The sequence below is a fragment of the Homo sapiens genome, chromosome 18, assembly GCF_000001405.40.
Source record: "Homo sapiens chromosome 18, GRCh38.p14 Primary Assembly".
Taxonomy (NCBI): Eukaryota; Metazoa; Chordata; class Mammalia; order Primates; family Hominidae; genus Homo; species Homo sapiens.
The window spans coordinates 57550859-57577669 of NC_000018.10; the positions used below are offsets into that span (position 1 = coordinate 57550859).

At 41.6% G+C, this 26811-nt stretch overlaps 1 protein-coding gene across 6 annotated transcripts in view, besides 1 other annotated feature; it reads right to left on the reverse strand.

Annotated features, from left to right (window-relative positions):
• The window catches only part of FECH (ferrochelatase), a 42326-nt gene that overhangs the window by 6482 nt on the left and 9033 nt on the right, over positions 1 to 26811 (reverse strand). For 3 of the 6 annotated variants that reach the window (NM_000140.5, NM_001012515.4, NM_001371095.1), the window contains 8 exons: positions 22388 to 22507; positions 20534 to 20682; positions 15589 to 15723; positions 12016 to 12122; positions 8287 to 8385; positions 3987 to 4094; positions 3402 to 3566; positions 457 to 516 (listed from right to left, as the gene is read on the reverse strand). In NM_000140.5, coding sequence (NP_000131.2) covers positions 457 to 516; positions 3402 to 3566; positions 3987 to 4094; positions 8287 to 8385; positions 12016 to 12122; positions 15589 to 15723; positions 20534 to 20682; positions 22388 to 22507 — 943 coding nt within the window. The remainder of the gene's footprint in view (positions 1 to 456; positions 517 to 3401; positions 3567 to 3986; positions 4095 to 8286; positions 8386 to 12015; positions 12123 to 15588; positions 15724 to 20533; positions 20683 to 22387; positions 22508 to 26811) is intronic. The other 3 variants (NM_001371094.1, XM_011525881.2, NM_001374778.1) reach the window with 2 other exon arrangements.
• Positions 11992 to 12165: a silencer, noted in NCBI's record as "fragment chr18:55230082-55230255 (GRCh37/hg19 assembly coordinates)". NCBI's record gives its function as "represses an EF-1alpha promoter that drives an FKBP-Casp9 reporter gene in an ReSE screen in phorbol 12-myristate 13-acetate-treated (for megakaryocytic differentiation) K562 erythroleukemia cells {active_cell/tissue: K562(+PMA)}" and the evidence as "EXISTENCE:reporter gene assay evidence [ECO:0000049][PMID:32094911]".

Here is a 26811-nt window from a genome sequence, read left to right on the forward strand (position 1 = left end):
CAAGAGGCAAAGACGCATGAGAAGCACAGGGTCTGCTCGTCTGCCATGCCCCCTCCTCCAGCTGCCCAGGTCAGCGCTCTGGCTTGGGGTTTCTTTTCATCCGAGTGGTGAGCCCTTTGAACCAAATTCTACAGCATCTTCCTTTCCTGAGAATCCTCAGCTTACAGAAAGTTAAAACAGAGATTTCAGGAGATGAAAACCTCTTACCCTACCCACTAGGCCTTTTCTCTGGAAAGCAGGTTTTAAATCAGACATAGTTATAGGTGGGTAGAAATCAGAAAATTGGGGCTATCTGAAGGAAAAAAGACTGAGCAGATAAGGAATTCGATTTTATTTTTGTAATTAATTGGAACTCCAAATGTTCTAATATGTGAGAAAAACCAATATTCTGCAAGAGTTTCTCAGAGGATTACTCTCTGGTATGTTCTACTAAAACGATTGTAACACTGTAGATACCTTAGAGAACAATGGATTTCCATTAAGAGACTCAGCTCTTCTGATGTTTTCAACTCCACACTGAATCAAATGAGAAAAGGGAGGAAAAACACAGATATATTTTATTTTCCTTTTTTTTTCAAAGAAACTGCTACAAAAAAATAAATACACACAGATACACACACACAATTCAAAGTCTGACTTCAACTGTTCGCAGACTGCTCATTAATGAAAAATACTCATGGGGCAGGGCTGTATGTTGATTCTGTTATCATAAATTATTCCTCAATTCTTATGTCCTTCCCCTTCCCCATTACCTTCCTAAAGGTGGTTTGTTTGCAAATCCTTTTTGTGGTTACACTTGATGAAATTCTCAAGCAATTTAAATCTGTTTACCATTCTTTTTTTATTCTCTTTTGCTAGTGCATAATTTTACAGACTCTTCCTAAGTAGAATGTTACTGTAAATATAGTTTCATACTTGTTTTGATCCCAAGTGCCAAAATGAGGTAAATTAACTTATCGACTATAAAATATGTATTGGACCTACACTGGAACCAATTCAGAGTTGGGTTTTAAAATATATTCTTTTTTCTTTTTTTTTTTTTTGAGATGGAGTCTTGCTCTGTCACCCAGGCTGGAGTGCAGTGGCGCAATCTCGGCTCACTGCAACCTCTGCGTCCCGGGTTCAAGGGATCATCCTGCCTCAGCCTCTCAAGTAGCTGAGATTACAGGCATGCACCACCATGCCCAGCTAATTTTTGTATTTTTGGTAGTGGCAAGGTTTCACCATGTTGGCCAGGCTGGTCTCGAACTCCTGACCTCAAACGATCCACCCGCCTCAGCCTCCCGAAGTGCTGGGATTACAGGTGTGAGCCACCAAGTCTGGCCTGAAATATATTCTTATGGAGAAAAATCTAAAGGAAAACAATGGGAGGATTGTTTCTGTACCATCCCTGCTCCCGGCTCCAAAAATATCCACTGCCTAATAACTGAAAATGGTCTAATTATGATTTACTCAGGTAGTTAGGATTCTTCTCTTTCCCTTTTCTTTTGATAGCTTTTCAATTACTTGATCTTTTATTTTTTATTTATTTTATTTTATTTATTTATTTATTTATTTTTTGAGAGGCAGTCTCAGTCTGTTGCCCAGGCTGGAGTGCAGTAGTGCGATCTCAACTCATTGCAACCTCCACCTCCCAGATTCAAGTGATTTTCCTGCCTCAGGCTCCCAAGTAGCTGGGATTACAGGCACGTACCACCACGCTTAGCTAAGTTTTGTATTTTAGTAGAGATGGGGTTTCACCATGTTGGCCAGGCTGGACTCAAACTCCTGACCTCAGGTGATCCACCTGCCTCGGATTCCCAAAGTGCTGAGATTACAGGTGTGAACCACCACACCTGGCCTCAGCTACTTGATCTTTTAGATTAGCATTAACATCAGGAGACTGGCATGGGAAAAACGTTGAGATTCAGCAAACACATGGATCTCAACTGAAGAGGCTGTATTCTCAAACTTCATATAAAAGTCAGTTACAACAGAATAACCAGCGTTGGTAAAGGGCATTCTCCAACAATGTTGATGGGAGAGTCAGCGATACACTGACTAGAAAAATATATACCAACACTGAAATTCCATGTGCACCTGTAGTCCCAGCTACTCAGGTAGCTGAGGAGAGGATCACCTGAGCCTGGGATTTTGAGGCTAAAGGGAGCTATGATTGTGCCACTGCACCCCAGCCTGGTTGACAGAGCCAGATTTCATCTCTAAGCAAATTTATAAAATCATAATAAATTTAAAATAAAAAAATTGATTTCCAAACATATTGGTATAAACTATATTTTCACTGAAGTTTTAGCAAGTTCACAATTAGCCAAGCTCATAGTGAGATACAGAAGGCATCTTTAAACAAAATCCATAGACAATGCTGCAACCATTTCTTAGCCAATTACAACTTGCCTGCAAATCCTGTGTCAGAACCACTGACAAGAAACTTAGGTGCTCCCTAACTTCACCCATGTCTGATTGATGTCCAGCATGGAAATTCAAATTCCACGGGGATCAGGTGTTGGCTCAAGTTCTGCCCCCACCCACTCTCTACCCTGCCCTACACCTGCTGCCCAGTCCCAGAGAGGGTGAAGTCTCCTGCAGGATGGTCCTCCATCTATCATACTTGGGGTGACCAGGGCCAGAAACTCTGGCAGAGAGGGAGGAAAGGGTTTCTTGGGTCCCAACGCTTCCACACTTCCCATAAAAATAAAGCTATATATTGGAATAGGTTTTAGGCTGGCTCTCAAAAGCCAGGACATAGATGAACAATAGTTTTTCTCCTCCCTGAATGACAATTCACATCTATCTCATATTACAAGACACCAAAGATGGTATTTGTTATTTCAATAATCAGATTGATCACAACATAACAGCAAACAGCTAATTAAGTGAGTGCATAAAAGAGGTCAAGGAAATCACATCACACATTGCTTCCATGTTCATTTCACGCTCTTCTTTTAAATGACAATGACTCCTATATGCCTTGACACTCAACAAGAAGCCATGTAATAATAGCCCTGAGTAAAGGTCATGATTAGGCAAAGAAAAGAAATTATAAAACAATAAAATGTTTTCCTTTGGAATTAGTGAGAAGTACATTTCTTTTTTCTTAAAGAAATATAGTTGTTATTACTTTCGAGTAGCCCAGTAACTCAAACTAAACAAAATGATGTCAGCCACAGTGATCCCTGGGGCACCTGGTTTAAGGAAAGCACAGGTTTCCCCTCCCACTGCATGGAATTAACTCAATGTGTTGAGATTATTACTCAGATGAAGTATTATTCAGGAGAATGAGGACACCGTACATGCAAACAAATACAGTAAACAATATTTCTGAATGATACATTAGTTAGTTGCAGAAAAAATTTCCTTTTAAAACAAGTCATGATGGGAAAAAGGCAGATGGGTGCATTTACCTCCTTGGCTAAAACTTGAGAGTACTCGATGTCCAGCTCATACAGCGTTTCAATATGGTCACTGGTAAATGCTATCGGAACCAAGAGGATATTCTTCCTCCCCCTCTCACAAAGCCCTTTGATAGATTCGTCTGTTTGAGGACCCAACCAGGGCATTGGACCAACCTATGCGAAAGATAGACGAATGCGTAAGTGGACTATGCCTCCTGACGGTCTGTAGTACCCCTGTTTGCCCCCCTGGGCACACGCACTGCCCACTGCGGGCAAGAGCCACTCTTTACACCTGCTTGAATGGATTTTGATATTTTCACATGGAAACTTGAATCCTAGAAGTTGCCTCAATATAAATAAATAACAGTTTCTGTCATTGCAGCTAAAGGTAAAATATTAAACCAATGGAGCTCCACGAGTCACTTGATTTCCCCTTCTATCTTACTCGCTTGCAGAGTTCTTTCTGCCCATGGTGAGCAATCAGGTTATGGAAGAGCCTGACCATGTGTAAGAGCCAAATCTAACCATTTTATAACTCATAAAATAAATTTTACCAATAAGAGCTGGCCGCCCGCCAGTGTGGAAGCCACTTACCTTGGATTGCCACACCAGTCGGTAGGGGTTGCAGTACTCCAGCCTTTCCATGACTTTTTGGACAGTGGCGCTTACCTCCTGAGGATATGGGTCGCCTCTGTTGACCACCTGCAGCAGAGACACAATGGGTGTTCAGCCATTAACACTGGGAAGGCCCCGAGAGCCTCTGACTATGTGCTGACACAGTGTGAGCCCTGGAACAAAGCCCTCCCTTTCTGTCTCCTGCACCAATGATGATATGGTCTGAGTTCAATCACCAAACTTCCTTAGTTCCACTTCTTCATCAGCCAAAGAAAAACACCGCAGTCAATCATCTCTAAGGTCCCTAAGAGGGTGGAGAATTCCATGTTCCACGTTATTCATGGGGGACTCACAAGATCTAACTAAAGAGGATGGTTCTCTCTCCCTCATCCAATAGATGAAGAAGACACAGAAAAGCTGGGCAGGATGGGAACTTCTACCCTGGTGGTCATGTGTGTAGTTGATTTCACAACAGGAACTGAAACAGTGCTGCATGGACAATGTACAGAACTGCTGGATTTATGGTAAACCCTGGTGGAATTAGAGGAGGAAAGCAGCAGCACATCACTGCAGGTTACAGGCACCTCCAAGAGTGTGACCTGCACCTTCCACTTCCTCTCTCCCCACTCTTCCTGCAACAATGGACAACAGGCAAACACTTTGTGCACAGCAAATGTTTCATACATGATCCCTTGTTAATACCTTTGAAAATTTTCAATGCAAATTTTAATGCTTTAAATATTTACTGTGTACTGACTCCCTAGCCCTCACCTGGCTTTATTTTCTTCTATAACATATATTGCCTGCTAATCTACCATACCATTTTCATATGTATTATGTTTATTATCTTTTCTCCCTACTCTCTGCAAACAAAGATTTTTCTCTGTTTTCTTCATTCCCATATCCTATGATATGGCTGGAAACAGTGCCTGGAATATAGCAGGTGCTCAATAAATATTGGTGAAATGAAATATACTGATAGATGGGGCGCAGTGGCTCACGCCTGTAATCCCAGCACTTTGGGAGGCTGAGGTGGGCTGATCGCCTGAGGTCAGGAGTTCGAGACCAGCCTCACCAACATGGTGAAACCCTGTCTGTACTAAAAATACAAAAATGAGCCTGGTGTGGTGGCGCACACCTATAATTCCAGCTACTCAGGAGGCTGAGGCAGAAGAATCACTTGAACTCAGGAGGCGGAAGCTGCAGTGAGCCGAGATTGCACCAGTGCACTCCAGCCTGGGTGACAGAGCAAGACTCCATCTCGAAAACAAAAAATTATATATATATACTGACAAATTATTTTATGATTATTACTACTGGTCTGTTTAAAAGCCATGGGAGGCATAAATGTAGATGGAATGAAGGAAACACAAAGTTGCCATTAGGACAGCAATGTGGTAATTACTACAAACACGATCTACCCATGGATGCTAGGAAATAACAAAATCTCTGTATTGTCTTAAAGTATCTCCTCCAAGATATTTTTAATTACAAAGAGAAAAATAGTAATTTTAGGATGGATCAACACAGCAGACACACCCTTAAACAAGTGGCCAGGGATCACATCACCAGTAGAAAAGCACGCTGGCATCACAGACCCCCGGGTGTGAGGCACAGAGCAGGGCCCCGCACCCCTGTGGGTTCTTGCCAATGATGCATCACCGCAACCTAATCATGAGAAAACTTCAGACGAACCCAGATGGAGGGACGCACCAGAAAACAACTGACATCCTAAAAATGACTCCTCAGAAATATCAACGTGTGGTGGGGCGTGGCGCCTCACACCTACAATCTCAGCGCTTTGGGAGGCTGAGGTGGGTGGATCACCTGGGCCCAGGAGGTCGAGACCAGACTGGGCAACATGGTGAAACCCTGTCTCTTCAAAAAATACAAATATTAGCTGGGTGTGGTGGTGTGCACCTGTAGTCCCAGTCACTCGGGAGGCTGAGGTGAGAGGCTCACCCAAGTCTGGTAGGTCGAGGCTGCAGTGAGTCGTGACTGCACCACAGCACACCAGCCTGAGTGACAGAGTGAGACCCTGTCTCAAAAAAAAAAAAAAAAAAAAAAAAAAGTCAAGCTGATGAAAGACAAGCCAAGTATCAGGACTGTCACAGATTGGAGGATGCTGAGGAAACCCCACAGCCACACACAGTGTGGGACCCTGGACTGGGTCCTGGGAGAGAAAAAGGACATTTTTGGAAACACAAGTGGCATCCACATGAAGCCTGGAGTGCAGTTAATAGTATTGTACCAGCGCTGGTTTCTCAGCGTTGGTAACTGTACAGTGGTTGTGTAAGATGTTAACACTGGGAGAGGCTGAGTAGAGGGTATATGTACTCTTTTAACTCTGTACTCTTTTAATCAGTTTTCTGTAAGTCTAAAAATTTCTTCAAAATAAAGTTTAAAAAGTTGTCAGAAGGGAACGCAGGGGAAGAGAAGAGTGTGCTAGATCAGTGTTCTTTCTCAACTCTCCAATGTCCTCCCCATACCTGACTTATCCTTATGACACTGTGGCATTTCCCGGTCCCACAAGGACGCTCCAGCAGCCAAACCTGGAAGCAGCGTGCTCCGTCCCCAGGTGAAAGAATAAGGAAGTGAGGCCACGGTCAGAGGAGGCAAGGCAGCACCGGAATCCCCACATACAAAAATGGGTTTCAGCCAGGCACGGTGGCTCATGCCTGTGATCCCAGCACTTTGGGAGGCCAAGGTGAGTGGCTCACTTGAGGTTGAGACCAACCTGGGCAACATGGGGAAACCCCGTCTCTACTAAAAATACAAAAAATTAGCCAGGCGTGGTTGCGTGTGCCTGTGGTCCCAGGTACTCAAGAGGCTGTGGCAGGAGAATCGCTTGAACCCAGGAGGTGGAGGCTACGGTGAGCTGTGATCGCATCACTGCACTCCAGCCTGGGCAACAGAGCAAGACCCGTCTCAAAAAAAAAGCAAAGCAAATGTGTTTGCTCCAGGCTGGTTCAAGGGCTTCCCTTCTGGCATCTCAGGCGAGGTCTCACCTTACATAGGATGAAGTGGCAGGAGGATGGACATGTGAAAAGGATTGCATGACACCAGAAAAGGAAAAGCAAACCCATTAAAATAGGCAGGCTTCCAGAAGAGAGGAATTTATCTTCAGAGCCTCCTACCGTCCACACGAGGCCCAGCAGAGACGATGAGTGGAAAATCTGCAGAGGCTTGGCCCTAGTAGCCACCAGGGGGCGGTAAGGCCCAGTTACAAGAGTGGCCCAGACACTGAGGCTGACTCCATTCCCGACATTGTTAAAACCTCAATCACCCCTGTGAAGATGTAATTATCCACCTCTCTGGGTTGGAAAGCACTGGTTTTAGGATAGAATGCTAGTTCTGAGCAGATGAAACTGGTTGCTTATTCCAAGCGCTTCTATATATCATACAGTACACTAGCTTGATCATTCTTGTTTCCAACAATACAACAGCTATGGCACAGATTGTAGCATCTGGATGAATAGCCTAGTGTAATATGATGAACTAAGGAACAGCCAGATCCCAACTTGATCCTCTATATTCACTTGCAAAAATGTGGTCCTGAGTCTTAGCAAACTGCAATGGCTGCCTAACAAGTCCTGAGGACAAAAGCATGGGATTGAGAGCGCTTGTCTGAATGGAGACCCCCCCACTCAACACACAGAAACATCAAGCTGAGCTCTGCTGACAGGGCAGGCAAAAGCAGCCTTCTCTTAACTGTCCCACTTATTAGAAAGTCTTATATATATCTTCAAGTTATCATTTTAAAGAAAAGAGGAGCTGGGTGTGGTGGCTCACACCTGAAATCCCAGTACTTTGGGAGGCCTGGGCGGGTGGATCACCTAAGGTCAGGAGTTTGAGACCAGCCTGGCCAACATGGTGAAACCCAGTCTCTACTAAAAATACAAAAAATTAGCCAGGCATGGTGGTGGGTGCCTGTAATCCCAGCTACTTGGGAGGCTGAGGCAAGAGAACTGCTTGAGCCCATGAGGTGGAGGTTGCAGTGAGCCGAGACTGCACCATTGCACTCCAGCCTGGGTGACACAGCAAGACTCTGTTTCAAAAAAAAGAAAAGAGGAAAAGATCTATTTACAACATTATAATTTGAATTCATTGTTACGAGGTTTTAAGAAGTGAGGCTAGTTAGCACCAAGTCTGAGATTTGAGAATTCATTCTTGCACTGGGCTTAGGACATAATGGAAGCTGGACCCATTTTACACATTTAGAAAATGAAATCACCCAATCCTCTATCACTAGGTCATCCCAGAAAATGTTCTTACTTACAGACATGGGCAGTGAGTGAGCAGAAAACAGAATGACCACCTCGCTTCTCTTCTCAAGTGGAAAATGGTCCAGTTCCTTTAGAATATGATCTGCAAAGCACTGAGTGAGTAACAAGAAAGGAGGATAAAGAGGAAGGGAAGAAAGAAATGGAAGGAAAAAGAAAATAATTTTAAAATGAAGCCTACACCAAAAATCTCAGAGCAACCCTCAAAAATCCGAACTCTCTTTTTTAAAAAATTGCAAACAGTCCAGCCTCTCAGCATTGGTTTATCATCAAAATGGATCATAACAGTTTCAGGGGCCTAGGGAATTTGCTGGGAAACTTCTAAAGCTCGCTAATGGCTCACTGCAAATGCGCGCTGTGGATCTGCTTCCCCTCGGGAAGGACAGGGCACACTTCCAGATGGAAAGGAAACACAGATGGGAAGGAGTTGTTTTAAGACCTCTCATTTGCTCCGTTAGCAGGAAAACAGCTTACAGGGTCTTTCTAAAGCCTCCTTAGTTTGGCTTTCAGGCATACCACATTAAATACATTAGTCAGGAATAGTAGGGAAATAAGAAAATACTGCTCTATTTTTATAACAGTTTCTTCTGAGCCTCATATCCCCATCAAGTCAATTTTTATAAAAACCTTCACAACAACAGATGACAGGTGATACACACCCATTAAATTCACAGAGCCGGGAAAGATGTGGTAAACTTAGGGGCCCATTCAGTCACATCTGTGGAACTTGAGAAAGAACATGGTTCCTGCCTCCCCCTCCAAATCTCTGTCCACCAGACCAGGGAGCTCCCTTCGTCTAGCCGGCACTTTGATTCACGTCGATAGGTGCTGAAATACCAGAACTGAAGGGGCTTTCTTTCGTCTTATACTTTAATCATTCTCTGTCATTTAGCTTATAAAAAAATGCTACAAAAGACACAAATGGGTCAACTGACAAAATCAGAATATGAATGTAAATTAAGTAAAAGTTTAAATATTGACGTTAAATTTACTGAAGTTGAATGTTGTATTGTGGTTATGTAAGAGAATATTCCTGATTTTAGAAAACACACTTAAGTGTTTAGGTGTAGAGGATGGTGATATATGCATAACTTATTCTCAAATGGGTCAGAAAAAGAAATCATGTTTATACAAACACAGACACACACACATACATACACACACACGGGGCGTGTAAATGATAAAGCAAGTGGGATATACATGTTAATAACACATCAATAGGCCAGACGCAGTGGCTCACGCCAGTAATCCCAGCACTTTGGGAGGCCAAGGTTGGACGACTGCTGGAGCCCAGAAGTTCAAGACTAGCCTGAGCAACATGGAAAGACCTAATCTCCACAACATTTTTAAAAATTAGCAGGGTGTGATGGCACCTGCCTGTGGTCCCAGCTACTCAGCAGGCTGAGGCGGGAGGATCACCTGGGCCCAGAAGGTTAAGGTTGCAGTGAGCTATGATCGTTCCACTCAACTCCAGCCTGGGCAACAGAGTGAAACCCTGCCTCAAAATAATAATAATACAGTAATATAGGTAAAAGAGTAGATGAGAGTTCCTTATACTATTCTTAATCTTGTAACTTTTCTGCATATCTAAAATTATTTCTAAATGGTCCTTTGTAACTTTTTAAAAATTATAAAGGACAATTTATCAGAAACATGTAAATCTGCACTTGTTGGTATTTTGATACATCAGTGGTCAGTGAAAACTATGGGATAAGCAAACTATTCCCTAATAAATATTGAGATATTATTAATCTTTCCAGAACTCTCAAAATTTGGTAAATAAATATCCTAAGGCATAAAATGGTACCTAAAGTTAAGTTCCCTTTTCAGAATTTATAATGTAAATTCTCAGCAAATGTGACAGGATTAGATACAAACGAAACCAATATTTTCTGGTCTTTGCAGTGTTTGGAAACTAAAGATGCTCAGAAAGGATTATTTTTGGACCTCAGCCTAGATAAGGAGGCCCACTGCAAGGTTTATACAGGAGCCTAGAAGATAAATTTGCTCCAATTAACCCAACAGCTAAATAAATACCAATATTAGAGAAAACAGTAATAAAATGGCTATTTGGAGCAATTACTACCTATGCCAAGCAGAAATGTGGATTCAAAACAGAATTTGTAGTTTTAAACTATATTTTTCATTTTAGTTTAGGGTTTTGTTTTCTGGTTTCCAAAAATGTCATATCGTATCCAAAGCCTAGTGTTTTTCTTTTCTCGGCTTGCAAAGCTGCAAGTAAAAACACAAATCATATGGCTTGCAACAGCCTCTAAGCCATCTTCAAAACTGAGGCGCCATGGGCAAGGAGAAGTGCTATTTAAATCACCTAAAACCCATCTGCGGTATTTTCTACTCCCAACCTCTCTGCAGAATGAAAGAGGCACCGAGCCTCTCAGAGCCTTCAATCACACCATCTAGGAGGGCAGATAAATGCCTCTAAAATTCCCTTTCATTTTATGAACAGAGACTTCCTCAGTTAAGAGACCTTTCCATCGTTTTGCTTCCCTCCTTTTCAAAGGGCTGAATTTTAATGCAAATCTAATTACTCACTTGATCAGGGCAGGCAGATGCTGTGCAGATCCCTCCATTCCCTGCTACCACATGTCAATGCTGACCTGAAACCCCCCTCCTTTCCAATCGCAGGCCTCCCAAAGCAAAACCCAGGCTGCTGGTGCTTCAGGCAGTACTGGCTGGACCCAGCAACACAGCCATCAATGGTGCACACAGAGACCACAACTACACCCACCCCTAAGGGTAAGCTCCTTCTTTTCAGTTTTTACTTAAAATTGGATTTCAACCCAAGTGTTAACCCTTTACATGCCTAAGGAACACTGCTCTGGGGAGAGCTGGCCTGATTTCAATGATGTCTAGCACCATCTAGTGGTCACAGATTTAAATGACACCAGGCTTCTAAAGAAGTTGTTAGTAGGGTTTTTTGCCGGGAGTCAGAAAACGTTCAAGGAGTGAAAAATAAAATGGATCAAATCTAAATGACTTAATATTTCCCCTACCTAAAATAACTCAAAAGCAGAAACTTCTACTAGCAGAACAAAATTATATTTGCATAATTTAGGGCAATATTTTACCAATTGCCCTCCCATATTTGACAGGCAGAAAAGAATATGGTAACATCAGTTCAAAGCTATTAACTTTAGAACTGTAATTTTAACTTATTCTCCTAAAATCAAGCATCTGTTAATAAAAATATTATAAATATAAATTGCATAGAAGAAATATGAAATTTCTTTTAATATGTGAAACTTTCTCAATCGAAATGTTCAATTTATTTTCATGTCTCAGAACATGTAGATATATTACTTTTACATTATTAAAATCGTTTGACATTTTAAAGGATTTAGAAAGTAGAAAATTTAATTCGTTGGTCAGTCACTCAACCTACAAATGTAAGTTAGCTGAAACACCATGCACAATCTTTAATGCTCTTCTGGTCATAGGAAACACAAAACTCAAAATATCGTTTTGTTATGGTTTGGGACTAATAGCATTAATCTGAAGAAAGAAGAGTCTAGTCATTTTAATCTTTAAATGTATTTTCTCTTTTCATAATAAATCAAGAATATAATACTTTTATTTAATCCCAAACACACAATTTAAGCAAGGGAACAGTAAGGCTCAGAAGGACATCCACAAACCCAGAAGGGATGAGAAGCTGATTCACACTAGATGCTGGGGTGACAGGCAGCTGGCAAGCACTGGCTTACCTGGATGAGGAGGTGATGTGTGGGCCACCTGTCAATAGTGCTCCACTTCATCGTGGGCTTCCGTCCCACTTGATTATAGTATCTGTAAATGGCATTTAAGCTGCTGCCTGAAATATACAGAGACCACTTAGTAGATGCATTTTGATTATGGTGAAAATAAAAAACAGACTCGTAAAGGTAGTATATATAAGTTCAAAGCAGGTAACTGCTTCTTTACTGAATCAGTCTAATTACAATCATTTCAATACTCTAAAATGCATATAGATTTAACTACCCTGCAAATGAAGATCACTAAAAAGCAATCAATTTCAATGGACTTTCAAAGATTATTGATGTCAGTTCTAGTGAAAAACAAGATGGCCGTAAAGTTATGAAATATAAGCAGTCATATTTACAGGGACCAAGTCTTACAATTCAAAGTATGTCGGCCAGGCACGGTGGCTCACGCCTGTAATCCCAGCACTTTGGGAGGCCAAGGCTGGTGGATCACCTGAGGTTGGGAGTTTGACACCAGCCTGACCAACGTGGAGAAACCCTATCTCTACTAAAAAATACAAAATTAGCCAGGCATGGTGGTGCACCTGTAATCCCAGCTACTCAGGAGGCTGAGGTAGGAGAATCGCTTGAACCCAGGAGGTGGAGGTTATGGTGAGCTGAGATCGTGCCATTGCACTCCAGCCTGGGCAACAAGAGCGAAACTCCGTCCCAAAAAAAAAAAAAAAAAAAAAAAAGTATGTTATTTTTTTTCCAGTTACAAAGGTTATCAATCCCATTATAGGAAATGTATGCGATGGGGAAGAAAGGAAAAAAGAAACTGACCATTATCCCAGCATGCTAATTACAGTCATTGCTTTACTCTAATATGGTTCTTTTTTTCTTTATAGATGTTTTGTTTTACAAAGTTGTAATTTTTAATACATATGCAATTCTGCATGCTGAGTATTTTGAGCATCTTTACTTAATATTATGAAATAAATATTTTCCATGTTATGATAAAAGCTTTGTAACTATTGTTTGTTTGTGAGATGGAGTTTTGCTCTTGTTGCCCAGGCTGGAGTGCAGTGGCGCGATCTCAGCTTACCGCAACCTCCAACTCTTGGGTTCAAGTGATTCTCCTGCCTCAGCCTCCCAAGTAGCTGGGATTACAGGTATATGCCACTACGCCTGGCTAATTTTTTACTTTTAGTAGAGACGGGGTTTCTCCATGTTGGTCAGGCTGGTCTCAAACTCCCAACCTCAGGTGATCTGCCCGCCTGGGCCTCCCAAAGTGCTGGGATTACAGGGGTGAGCCACCGCGCCCAGCATAACTATTGTTATTAATGGCCTCATGATAAGGAGAGAAAATTATTGAAGTTTCTGTGAGTTCTCATTCCCTAGAATAAGCTAAATGGACACCAAATCCTTATAAGTAATCTAATAAACTTATATTTCTAAGAGAGAGATGGAAATCATGAAAACTCAAAGCCTAAAGGAAGGCAGATGGTGTCAACCCAATGTAACTTTTTCCTGTCTAGGGGAGTTAGCATTGGGGTCACACCTGAATCCTATGAAACCAAGTCTAACACACAGCCTCTTCCTCAGTCTTAACATAGGGCAAGTCCCAAAACATTTCCATGCTTTCCATCACCGATCCACTGGGCTCTCTAACTATAAGAACTATTAGTTAGGTTTCCAGTTGAAAATGGTAGTCAGGAGAGAGCATATCTTAAATCACATATACTCTCAGACTAAGACTCAACTTCCAAAAAGATAAACAGGTTCAATTTTGGTGAGTAGAATACAGTGAATCAGAAGAATTCAAAGGGACTCCATTCAAGGTTCAGAAACAATCTCTCCAGAAATCAAAAAGTTGTCACGACCATATTCACGTTACAGACCGCACTTCACAGGTGGATATCATTTTCATATGTGCAAGGGGGCATCTGGAAGCTACATTAGCTCTTTCAGGTTGTGTGGAAACATTCAACAAACAACCCAAAGAAGTCATTAAGGAGAAAATGTGACTGAGAAATGTGTTTGTGATAAAGACACACACTGGCTCTGCCACAATAGTGCCAGTCTAAAAGATACAACAGATAAACAGCATTTGAGTGGCCTCGAAGAATTAACGTACTTCGCAAAGCCTTCCACAACTTGGATAGACGGATGTACCTGTCCTTACATGAGATACATTCAAGAAAAACTAAGCATACAGTGAAGTTTTGCATACACTGTCACTTGGTAGAGCCAGCCCTGAAATAAAAACCATAGTCAATCTTCTGTCATGTAAATAACAATCTTCTTAATTTATCTAATTGTGAGAGCAGCCATTTACATATTGAGGTATATTTCTTAAAACAAGGCAAAAGTAGAGCTTAAAAATTCATAAAATCTGACTCCTTCTCCAGTAACATATGACCAGACATTTTGAAGTTGTAGTGGTGCATTTCCAAAAGAAAAATAATAATTCAGGCTGAGTGCGGTGGCTCACGCCTGTAATCCCAGTGCTTTAGGAGGCTGAGGTGGGTGGATCATTTGCGGCCAGGATTTTGAGACCAGCCTGGCCAACATGGTGAAACCCCATCTCTACCAAAAATACACAAATTAGCCGAGCGTGGTGGCACATGCCTGCAATCCCAGCTACTCAGGAGGCTGAGGCAGGAGAATCACTTGAACCCGGGAGATGGAGGTTGCAATGACAGAGCAAGATACCATCTCAGAAAAAAAAAAAAAAAGAAAGAAATGATAATTCAAACTCTTGAGGGTATCTTAGAACTCAGGCATTTTAATGGGTTCTCTGAACAAATATTTAAGGCACATAACAAGCTTTGACTTTTTCCAATAGCCTTTTGATTCTCCTTATGGTTATAGAAGTGATAAACATTAATATCCAAAAGCAATTTGGGACTAAGAATGTGCTGACTTCAATCCTTGCAATGGAATGCAAACAAATGTGTCTGTGGGTGACAGTAGCAGCTTTGCCTACAATGAATGATACAGAGATTGCCAAACACCAATTATTCCCCAGCTCCAGTTAAATATACAGAAAACGACAAGCAGTAACATTTTCCAAAATCAAGAAAACAGAAAATTCTGCAAAGGGAACCCCAAACTGGGCTTTAGTTTTACCAGCAACCAACTCATAACTGAAGCAAAACAACGACAACAGCAACAAAATATCAGTATTTCCCATGTTGTATGGGCATCTTTGCTTTCAAAATGAGAACAGTTACAATCTTTGCTACATCAGTAAGAAAATCTGGGTAGCCATAAAAAGGTTTATCACACAAACCCAGAAAGAGCCTTAAGGTTCATTACTGATCCATTACACAATGGCATTAAAGCACTGAACACTGACAGCCACTGCCTACCACCCACACCATTTGTAATTACCAGCCAAGTGGCCAATAATTCAAGGGACAGATGGACCATGAGATTTCAAATGGACTGACCTGAACTCTCGTGTTTAAAGAAGACAGGTTGAATTTGCCATTCAAATTGCAAATAATTCATCCTTCCCTTCAGTACTTAGACTCCTTGGTTATTTTTGCCAGCACCGTATCTACCTTTCCACTGTCAGAGAGATGCCCTTACCTGTGGTGGAGCAGCTGTACTGTGGATACTGTGTGAAAGCAATAGCCCTTTCTAGGCCATCTCTCTCCATCTCTTCAATTGCTTCTTCTGTTAAAGGATGGACGTACCGAAATCCAATATAGTATTTGTGAGGGGCTATTAGGAAGCACATGTGGAAAGGAGAAAGTGTTAATCCTTATATAGATTCCTCAGAGTCAACAAACATAATGCAATGCCCAGAACAAAGAACAGTTCATGTAATTTCCTATGGCACTGACGGTGAAGGCAAGTTTAGCATATTCCTTGGATCTTATCCACTCTTCAGCTGGTATGTGAACTTTTAATGATGACTTTCTAGGATCAGTACCCCACCCACACACCTTTACTGCACAGTGGTTTTTAAAACTCAAACTTCTCTTCCTAATTCTCTGTTCTTGGCTGGCATAAGAGAGCCTCAAGAGAAAGGAGGAAAAAACAACACTTATTCTAAAATATAACTTCCTCTTGCATACCAGATACTATGGTAGCCACTGGGCATTATTTTTTTAATCATTTAAACCTGATTTTCCAGATAAGGAAACAGAGACTCTGAAGGTTAACTGAACTACCCAAAGTCATACCTTGCAGGTGGTCGAGCTGGAATTAGAGCCTGGGTCTCCCAACCCATGCTTCTCACTCCTCCCAGGCCCCCCACCTCACCCTGCTCCTATTACCCAGTTCCCCGAACCCCCAGGCCACCTCGTTTATATAAAAAAATGCAAGAGCTCTTGCATACGTAAAAAAATTCATTGATAACAAATGATTAAAATGATTCTCCTCATTACACATATAAAACAGTGCTTACTTTGGAGGTGCCACATGGGATTGAAAGCCATTGTTCTTGGTACCTAAATGGCCCATGCCTGCTGTATATCCTCATGTTCTTTCCCTGTCCCTTCCCTGTCCTTTCACGAATACCCTCTTCTATCTTCTTTATCCTCCCGCATCTTCCTTTCTTGTAGTTCAAAAACATCCACACCACATAATTGTTTAAGCATGTATAAAGTCATAAAACTACAAGTTTCCTAAACTTACTTAGTCTTGTTTCCTTGCCTTTTCATAGGATTACACATAACTTACACTCAGGGATGATAGTGAGAATCACTACATGAGTGTCAGGTAATAAATAATAAGACCATGATAATGTTACTGTCCAAAGCATTAGCAGGGGCTGCAACTATGAATGTGACATAAATTGCCACAAGAAACATTTAGGTTAAAGTGAAGGAAAAGACGGGAGTTTATCTCATTTATACCTAGATATATACAAGGACGACATTCCTCCTAACTTGACCCAGAGAGCTAAGAGCCAGGGGAACACATTCCCAAGGGAGAAGCAGAATGCCATTAGGCGAGAGAAGCACATGTGTGCACAGAAAGGCTGGTCGGACTCAGTATTCTCTGGTTGGGTACTGCAAAAAAGAAGAAGGAAGTAAAACTAGATCATTTTTAGCGCTCTGTCCATTTTCCGGCCACCAATTTCGTGCTGCCTTGCATAAAATGGTCACTAGCAGTTAAAACATATCACAGGACATGATCCCATAAGCAAACTCCAAATGACTGATTGTTCAAAGATTATGTGCTTTGTGCTAAAAACCGCCAACTATTACAATACCATCAAATCCCTTGAAGCAACTCTTGGTGATTTGAGCTGAGGTTTAGCAAGCAAGTAGAAACTGCTTTCGATTCTACTTTGAAACAATACGATGATCAGAATGACATCCCCAGTGCTGCAGGTCAACCGGCTTCTCGCATTTTCTTTTCACCTGTCCAGTATCTGAAGGTTACGGTCTAAATGCCTAGGGTCTGGGAGTTCCTCAAATCATGCATACTAAGAGGTAGAAAGGCTGCCCTTGCAGATAAAGACAAGGGCAGGTGGCCACATTTTAAAGTGAGACAGAGTAAAATACCCTGGAAAGAACTGATAATGTTTTCTAAATGCTTTCTAAAGACAACCTGTAAACACATATTGGAGAAAAAGCAGCAAGGTACTCTCCAACTGGGCATATCCTGAGGAACCAACAAACAGTGTTCATGAAGGACCCGTGTCCATCAGGGTGGGTTTCACAATGCAGCTGGCTGTCCCTGGAAGGATGCAGGGATGAGAAGGAGCCTCTCCGATGTTAACCAGTGCCACATCTCGTGGGCAGATCTGGCCAGAGTGAGCCCAAAACACATCACTCACTGGCCTAGCTTACGTACCCTCAGAGCAGCTGTTCAATGAACAGTCTTCAGCAAGAACTACTAAAAGACAGAGAAACTAGATTTTTAAACAGCAAAAACTTCATTAATTTAGCATGTACAATAGTTCAAATGTCCGATTTGTACATGATTTTTTGAAAGAAAAGTTTGAAATATGTAGCAAATGCTTACTTTGTATCAGATCATGAACCCTGTGCCAATGATGAATTAAAAAGCTCACGTATATTGAACTTTTGTCATGTTAATGCCTCTCAGGATTATCGCATTTAATTTTCACAAGGATCTAAGAGTTGAGTTCTGTTACCATCCCCATTTTCTAGCTGAGGCTTAGTTAAGTAAGTAAACTGCCTGAACCAGAGCAGGGAAGCCAACACCATCAGAGAAAGGAACCCATACGCCTATCCACGCTGCATCCGGGAAAGAACAGAATTATTTCATGAGCATCCCTTACTTATAGCTTCACTAAAAGCAGTTACAAGCTAAACAGTTAAACTATAATTTGCAAAGCATATTTGAGATTTAGACTTTCCATCACATGATTACACTTCTCATCTATTTCTGTATCTATTCTCTACATTTCTGCAATGCAATGTAACTACATGAAACCATTTCCTGATATAACTCACTGTCTTAGTTAACTGGTCAATTCTATGAAACCAGTGCAAGTCTCAAAACGTCCACACTGGCTACCAAGCAACAACCACTTCCCTAAAAAACGACAGCATGAAACATGTTTATCTGTTTGCAATCATCACATTTTCTGGCCTAAAGAGAATTTTTCTTAATAGAAATAAATCAATAGACATAGTTCAAAAGTAAACTTTACAACTATATAGGAAAGAAAGGATCAGAAGGGAAGAGGAATGAGAAGGAGATGAAGAGGTACCCCAGCAGCCTCACCGGAGACAGGAGGTGGCGGGAAGGATGCCCTCCTGTCTGTATTGCTTTTTCAAGTCTGACAACTCTACCAGGGCTTTAACTCCTGGGCTCAAGCAATCCTTCTGCTTCAGCCTCCCAAACTGCTGGGGTGTGCCCCACCCCCATGCTCACTAGGGCTCTTTATAATGATGGGTACTACAGTAACATAAAAACAGGAAAAATGGGAACCTTTCTGCCTCCTCTTCCCACGAGAGACAGCATAGCAATTGCAAATCTGGTTCATAATAAAACCTTTTTTTTTTTTTTGAGACAGGGTCTCACTTTGTTTCCCAGGCTGGAATGCAATGGCATGATCATGGCTCACTGCAGCTTCAACCTCCCTGGCTCAAGCGATCCTTCCACCTCAGCCTCACAAATAGCTGGGCCTACAGGCGTGTGCCACCATGTCTGACTAGTTGTTGTTGCTGTTGTTGTTGTTGTTGTTGTCGTGTGTGTGTGTGTGTGTGTGTGTGTGTGTGTGTGTGTGTGTGTGTAGACAGAGTTTCACCATGTTGCTCAGGCTGGTCTCAAACTCCTGGGCTCAAGCGATCCACCTGCCTTGGCCTCCCAAAGTGCTGGGATTACAGGCGTGAGCCACCACACCAGGCCCACAAGAAACCTCTGATCATGATAAACTGTTAATGACTGGAGTTTGTTCTCTAGTAAGTAGGTGTGAATGGAGGGCTGACATTTTAAAGATGCACTGTGGCATGCACGGAGGAACTGCATAAGAAATGCCCTTGAGCCACAGCTTTAAGCAGGAAGCAAGCCGAATATGCAGAAGCACAGTTGAACAATTTTCGAAGTGAGGTGATCTGAGAAGGGGCCAGGGCCCTTTGTTACTTTGTGCCATGGGAACCAGTGGATTCTGAGAACAGCTGGAGTGGATGCTTGCTCAGTGATGTCAGAAAAGAGTGAAATGCTCCTTTTGGTCCTGCCTAGTGGAGCTGTTCTCCCTGAGGGTTCCCAGTGTCACACACCTATCCTGATCCCAAAGCTCTAAGATATATTTGCAATGAATGTAATTCATGTGTCCTAAGATGTACATTTTTTTGGTTTTAACATTTCTCATATCAGTTCAGTCTACAATAGATGTTGTCTTAAAATTAACCGGTAGTGCTTTTGTATCTTAGTATTATACAAAAACAGGGTGTCCTGCAATGAATTGTGTCTTCGATGTGTTTAATACAGCATTTTTACTTCATCCATGCATTTAGTGGTTCATTCTGCACACTATTATTCTGGATAGAGGTTCTCAGATGTGCACAATCCTCTTTTTGGTGCCACGTCCAACAAGGACCTTCAATACCTTACAATGGTGATATTCTGAGAGCTGAAAGCATCACTGCGAGTTGCTTACTGTCCTGTGGCTTCCATGATAGCTAGCTAATACTGCTCTAAATATTCTAATCAGCTATCCAACCAGAAAGAAAAGGCAATAATAGCAGCAGCCTCAATCCATTTCCCAAAGATTTCTTTCCAGTGTAATGATATATGCATCTTTCTTTCATGGTATGTTGCTTATGCCTTATACTCTAGCAATTTAACAAACATCTCGAACTTCCTTTTGAAACTCATGTCCCAAATCCTTAGCTTTTTTTTACTTGTAATGTAAGAAGTCATAGCAAAGGCTAAAGGTCAAGGGATAACGCCTGGAGACCTAAATTAAGTGACCATGTATTATGTAGAAACACCACAAATTGAGTTGCCAGTACATATGAAGCATTTAGCATCTACTACTCTTTTGAATTTCATAACTACTTCGAAAGAACTAATCTAGTTACATGTTAATGAAGAAACACCATACCTGTGTTGGGGGACAATTCATCCAGCAGCTTCACCATGCCCTCTCCCTGCTTGGAAGTCCATATCTTGATGGGGGATCCGCCTCCAATCCTGCGGTACTGCTCTTGAATCTTGGGGGTTCGGCGTTTGGCGATGAATGGTGCCAGCTTACTAAATCATTTAACATACAGGTAAGTGGATTTTATTCCAGCTTAGCAACCTGAGAAATGTTTTCTACTCAATAAAAAAGAAAAAAAGCAAAATTTTAGAGAGCCTAACAAGATTAAGCCTTTAAAACAGAAGCTTGAGGTCATTGACAATAGCCAGCTCTCTTGTTGTAGAATAAGGAGCTAAAGCTATACCCTCTCTGAGGAATACCCAGCTGTGCTCCACAAGCTGTTCCAGCAGCACACCTGAAGATTCAGGACACACAACACCCATGCAGAGAAACCTGGATGTGCGCTAGCTACTAGCGTAACACATTTTGATCCCACACCTAACGAGAACTAGGATATAAGACAAATGAAGTAGACATTTCTCTTAATTTAAAAAATAAAGTCTATTAATCTTATAGATACACTTGCATATAGGAGCAAAGATGTATGCACAAGAATGTTCACTGCAACACTGTAAACAAACTAATTGTCCACCATGAAGCATGGATTAAACAAATTAAGTTACAGCCATATGATGCAGTTCTAAATAGTAATCAAAAAATGAGCCAGACCTATATATCGATATAACGTTATGAAACAAGATACAGTGTTAAGTTTACACATTCACAACAGCAAAGACTTGGAACCAACCCAAATGTCCATCAATGATAGACTGGATTAAGAAAATGTGGAATACTAATGCAGCCATAAAAAGGGATGAGTTCATGTCCTTTGTAGGGACATGGATGAAGCTGGAAACCACCATTCTCAGCAAACTATCACAAGGACAAAAAACCAAACACCGCATGTTCTCACTCATAGGTGGGAATTGAACAATGAGAACACTTGGACACAGGAAGGGGAACATCACACACCAGGGCCTATCGTGGAGTGGGGGGAGAGGGGAGGGATAGCATTAGGAGATATACCTAATGTAAATGACGAGTTAATGGGTGCAGCACACCAACATGGCACATGTATACGTATGTAAAAAAAAAAAAAAAAAAAAAAAAGGAAAGTTTCAAATATAGTACATAAGTACCTTCACATTTGTGTAACGAAGTGGGGGGGGGGGTGTGCATGTGTGTATGTATGTATGTGCGCGTGTGTGTGTGTATGTATGTGTATGCTTGGATATGCACGGACTATTTCTGGATGTAACAGCGCTTTCCTCCAGGTGGATAACTGGGAGTGCAAGGTGAAAGGGACACTTGCCTTTTACTGTAATTACTTTTATACTATTTGTAGTTTTTATCCCATGCATGTACTAATTTTTCATAATAGAAATCTATTTTGAAAGAAAAAGGAGAGAAGGAAGAAGGGAAAGAAGGATGAAAGGAAAAGAAGGGCAGCAACAATCCATATTTATAGTACAAATGAATAATAATCATTGCTTCCCTGAGTGTTAATCAGCCGTTAAGTGACAAGTACAAATATATCTTTAAAAATCTTTAAAGGTACCTAGGCTATGTCAAGACAACTGCAATTTCCAGGGCTCTGGGGAGCAAAGGGCTCAAGGAGAATCCCCACTAACTTATTTGCTCTCTCCCCCTGCAATTTTCTGATATCATATCCTTCTGATATCCAACAGAAAACAATGCTGCTGTTTAACCATTACCAGATACGCATTAAAACTATTTACTGGTTTGAAACTACAGAATTGAGAGACACATGTCAATGTAGTGCCAAGGTTATAATTGAGGTGTTTATATATATCTCACTTCTGAATAGGAAGTGTCATGAGGTCTCGGTCCAAGAAGAGTCTCAGAAGGAAGTCGTGAACATCTCCAAGAGTTTCAGGGCCTCCCATGTTTAGCATTAATATTCCAGTTTTCGGCTTCCTATATAAAATAAAATACAACGGTTGATTTGTCACACTTCTTATTTTCTTCCAGGGTGGACTCTTGGTTCAGCCAGCAAACTCTAATCTGTTCCATACAAAGGTAAATACTATGGCTCTTTTCACTGCCGTCACACAGATACCTATTCGGGGACATCTGTGGCCTCCAGTTCCCCATGGTCCCAGCTCAGACTTGGACCTTTGTCTTTTGGCTTAATTCATGATATCAGTCTTCACTCCGCTAGAAATGTTTCCCTTTTAAAGTCTCGGCCTGAAGAGAGATCGAACCTTTAGGGACTGGGAGTCAAGGTAGAAATCTAAAATTGTCCTGCAGCTAAAGCACCTGTACATGTGAGTACCATATGAATACAGAGGTTACCTGACCTCTCCCAACTTCAAGTTTCCTCATCTGGAAAACATAGCACCCACCACCTACTCAAAATGCTGTTTTGAGAATTCAGTGGGTAACATCTTCAGTCACTTAGCACGTGCTGGCACATGGTAAGTTCTACTCTACACAGAGCAGGGTTCCCCCAAAATTTTAAACCTCCACAGTCTAATACCAGCCCATCCCCACTCTTGCATCTGCTCCTGTCTCTTTAGTCAATTATTAAATTAAATGACTACTGACTGAAATTAGTTTTTACATTTTATTTTTGAAATGGATTCTCACTCTGTCACCCAGGCTGGAGTGCAGTGGTGCAATCTCAGCTCGCTGCAACCTCCGCCTTCCAGGTTTAAGCAATTCTCCTGCCTCGGCCTCCCAAGTAGCTGGGATTACACGCACCCAGGCTAATTTTTGTATTTTTAGTAGAGATGGTGTTTCGCCATGTTGGCCAGGCTGGTCTCAAAATCCTGACGTCAGGAGCCTGCCTCGGCCTCCCAAAGTGCTGGGATTACAGGTGTGAGCCACCACACCAGGACTGACTTAAGTTATTGCTTGCTCCTCTGCTTCCTTCTCCAAGACCTCCCTCTATTCCTTCATCCATGGCTCCTGTTATGATAAACTTCTCCTCTCCATCCTGCATGTAAATTCACTGTGTAGATAATTCCTGCAAGAACCGGTGCTAACATTCAAATTAGTCCCAGGCTACAGAATCAACCCCTGAATAAGCAGGAAGAAGCAAAAAGAAAGCAGAGCTCCATAACAAGTTTTAGGTCAAGCAGCTTCTGGAAACTTAAAAAAACAAAGTGCTATGCAAAAATGTAAACCTAAAATCCAGATCAAGCTCCGGAGTCAACACAGCCCAAAGTGAGCCAGGCCAGGAGCTCCCCACTCCTAAGCCCCGCCAGAGGGCAAGGTGAAGTCGGAGCAGGACCAGGTGCCTCTGGCACGCTGGCAGGAGCCACCAGAAGACCTTGCGTGTCCCCATGAGCAGGTAGCCATGGGATGGCAATAACTGGGGAACTAAAGATCAAGGAGCATTTCTTCCATTCATTCATTCATCTTTTTTTCATATTTAAAAATTGAGATATAACTCACATACCACAAAATTCACCATAATCTGAACAATTCAGAGGTTTCTAATACATAAGGAAAGGCAGGAAACCATCACGACTATCTAACTCCAGGACATCTTTACCCCACAAAGAATCTTCGTATCCATTAAAGCCACTCCCTGTTCCCTCCCCTCTCACCCCTGGCAACCAGTAATCTACTTTCTGGGTCTATAGATTTGCCTATTCAGGACACTTCATAGAAATGGAATCACATGATTGTGTCTGGTTTTACTCAGCATAAAATGTTCATGATTGTGTCTGGTTTTACTCAGCATAAAATGTTCATGCTACGTGTCGTAGCATGAATCAGTACACTTCACTCCTCTTTATTGCTAAATAATATTTCATTATATGGTTATACCCTCTATTCACTTTCAATAAAGCAGCTGAAAAATAACCAGCCTGAAGTTTATCTAAACACCGTTATTATGAACGCTGAGGGGTCTACTTCCTGAATCTCCTACACCAGACTACCTCTGACCACTGCAGTGACTAAACCAATGCTGCTGAGACAGAGCCTGTATAGAGAAACATTCTTTATGTGCTCGAAAACTAAAGATACTATGATGACATCTTTTTTGTTTTTGTTTTTTTTTGAGACAGGGTCTCACTCTGTCACCCAGGCTGGAGTGCAGTTGCACAAACAAAGCTCACTGCATCCTCGACCTCCCGGGCTCAAGTGATCCTCCCGCTTCGGCCTCCTGAGTAGCTGGGACCACAGGCACATGCCTCCATGCCTGGCTACTTTTAAAATTTTTTATATAGACAGAGTCTCGCCATGTGGCCCCGACTGGTCTCAAACTCCTGGCTCAGGCTCCCAAAGTGCTGAGATTACAGGTGTGAGCCATTGCCCCAGGCTTATGGTGACATCTTAATGGGCAATTTTTAAACAATTATTAACAACATTTGGCAATAACGTAAGGCAGCAGGGTATGTCAAATGTAAACAGGTAGAAACTGTTTTCTTGATCAAACCTGTTGTATAAGTGGATGAGGTAAAAATCTGAATTCTCAACCTACTTTTTCAGAATACGAATCAATTCCTGGGGAAGGAGAAATATGGCATTACAATGAGATCAGGGATTTTCTCATTTAGACCCCATTATAAAGATTAACTAAGGTCCCTTTTCACATCAATGCCTTCAACCGGGGTTTTTCAACCTCAGCACTACTGACGTTTGGGGCTGGAGAGTCCTTTGTTGTAGAGGACGGCCCTGTGCAATGCAGGAGCCTTGGCAGCATACCTGGCCTCTACCTGTACACAATAATAGCACACACCCCACCCCAGTGTGACAACCAAAAATGTCTCCAGCCATTGCCAAATTTGTCCCAGGAGGCAAAAATGCCCCCTTCCCCCTATTGAGAATCACTGTCTTAGAGAAAGAGGGCTTAATCCCCTTCTAAAACAACCAAGCAACTGCACTGAAGATGTGGTTGTTATATAACTCTTCCATGCTCGAGTCCTACAACTGCATTAACGGGTGTGTTGAGTTTTCTTTCCTTGATATTTGAAAATTCCAGATGCATTATTTTGTGAAACTAATATTCGTTTAATCTTTCTACTTAGACCACTAGTCTTCTCCTGGGATCCTGTCTTTCACCTTCAAAATCTGTGACTCACAATAAATTAAGTGCATTTTCCCATGGATTGCTGCCAGTTAACAGATTACTGGTTAAAAAAACCTCAGGCTAAAAGACTTACCTAAGCCACAGACGGTATCAGTGTGCAAACGGGATTTAGAGCTGTTTTTCATCTATAACACCTGAGCTCAGAACAAGAGTGGCTTTAAAGGGGATGCTACTCTGCCCTGCTCATGGTTTTGCAAACGCATGTTGATCTTACACATGAAAGAGATGCACACGACTTGAAAATACCTAAATACACATGCACTTAATTCAAAACTGTGTTGTGCATGATGAATAGCGCATTAGTAAGCCCCAGTCTGACACCCCTCTATTCCAGAATGTGAAGTGAAAGCTTTAGTCAAGGGTCTCCATCTCCTCTCCCTCCAGACAGAACACACCTGAGACCAAGGTCTGAACGTTCATGTTCCGTTTGTTTGAATATAAAAGTGTATACAGCAAAATATATTTAAAACTTCTCACTTGGAAAGGTTTCAACATTTTGCCATTTTTATATCCCAGGACTCTCAAAATACAAGGTTTTTCCGTGAAATATTAAATGTACGTAACAGAAACTTAAGCTTGTCAATTAATAAACAATAATTCTATTCTACTCTATATGGTCAGCCTCAAGAAAAAGTAATACGATCCCAGCTCTTCATTAAACCTCTAAGACATGATTGGCCTGTGGGTCTATGATGCCTCTAGAACAGAATTTGGTGAACTATAGCCCATGCACTAAATCTGTATACACACATACACCCCTACTGCCTGTTTTTGTAAATAAAGTTTTACTGGAACACAGCTCCCCTCATTGTTTATGTAATATCTATGGCTGCTCTCACACTACAACAGCGGAGTTGAATAGCAGCAAAAGACAGAGTTTGGCCTACAAAGCCTGAAAAATTTACTACCTAACCCTTTACAGAACTAATGTCAACCCCTGGCCTAGTGTAGTGTCTACTCTAGTATTGCAGTCTAGTCCAGCCCAAGCATTAAGCAGCACAATGCCTTCATAATGACTGCCATCAGAAGAATCCACAAAGACACTCACTGCTTCACCATTTCTAATATTAAAAAACTAGAAATCACCTACGTGTCCCAGAATGTTGGTCAAGGTAGTTTATGACTTAATAAAATACTCTTCAGTTACTAAAATAATATAGACAAGTATTTATGATGA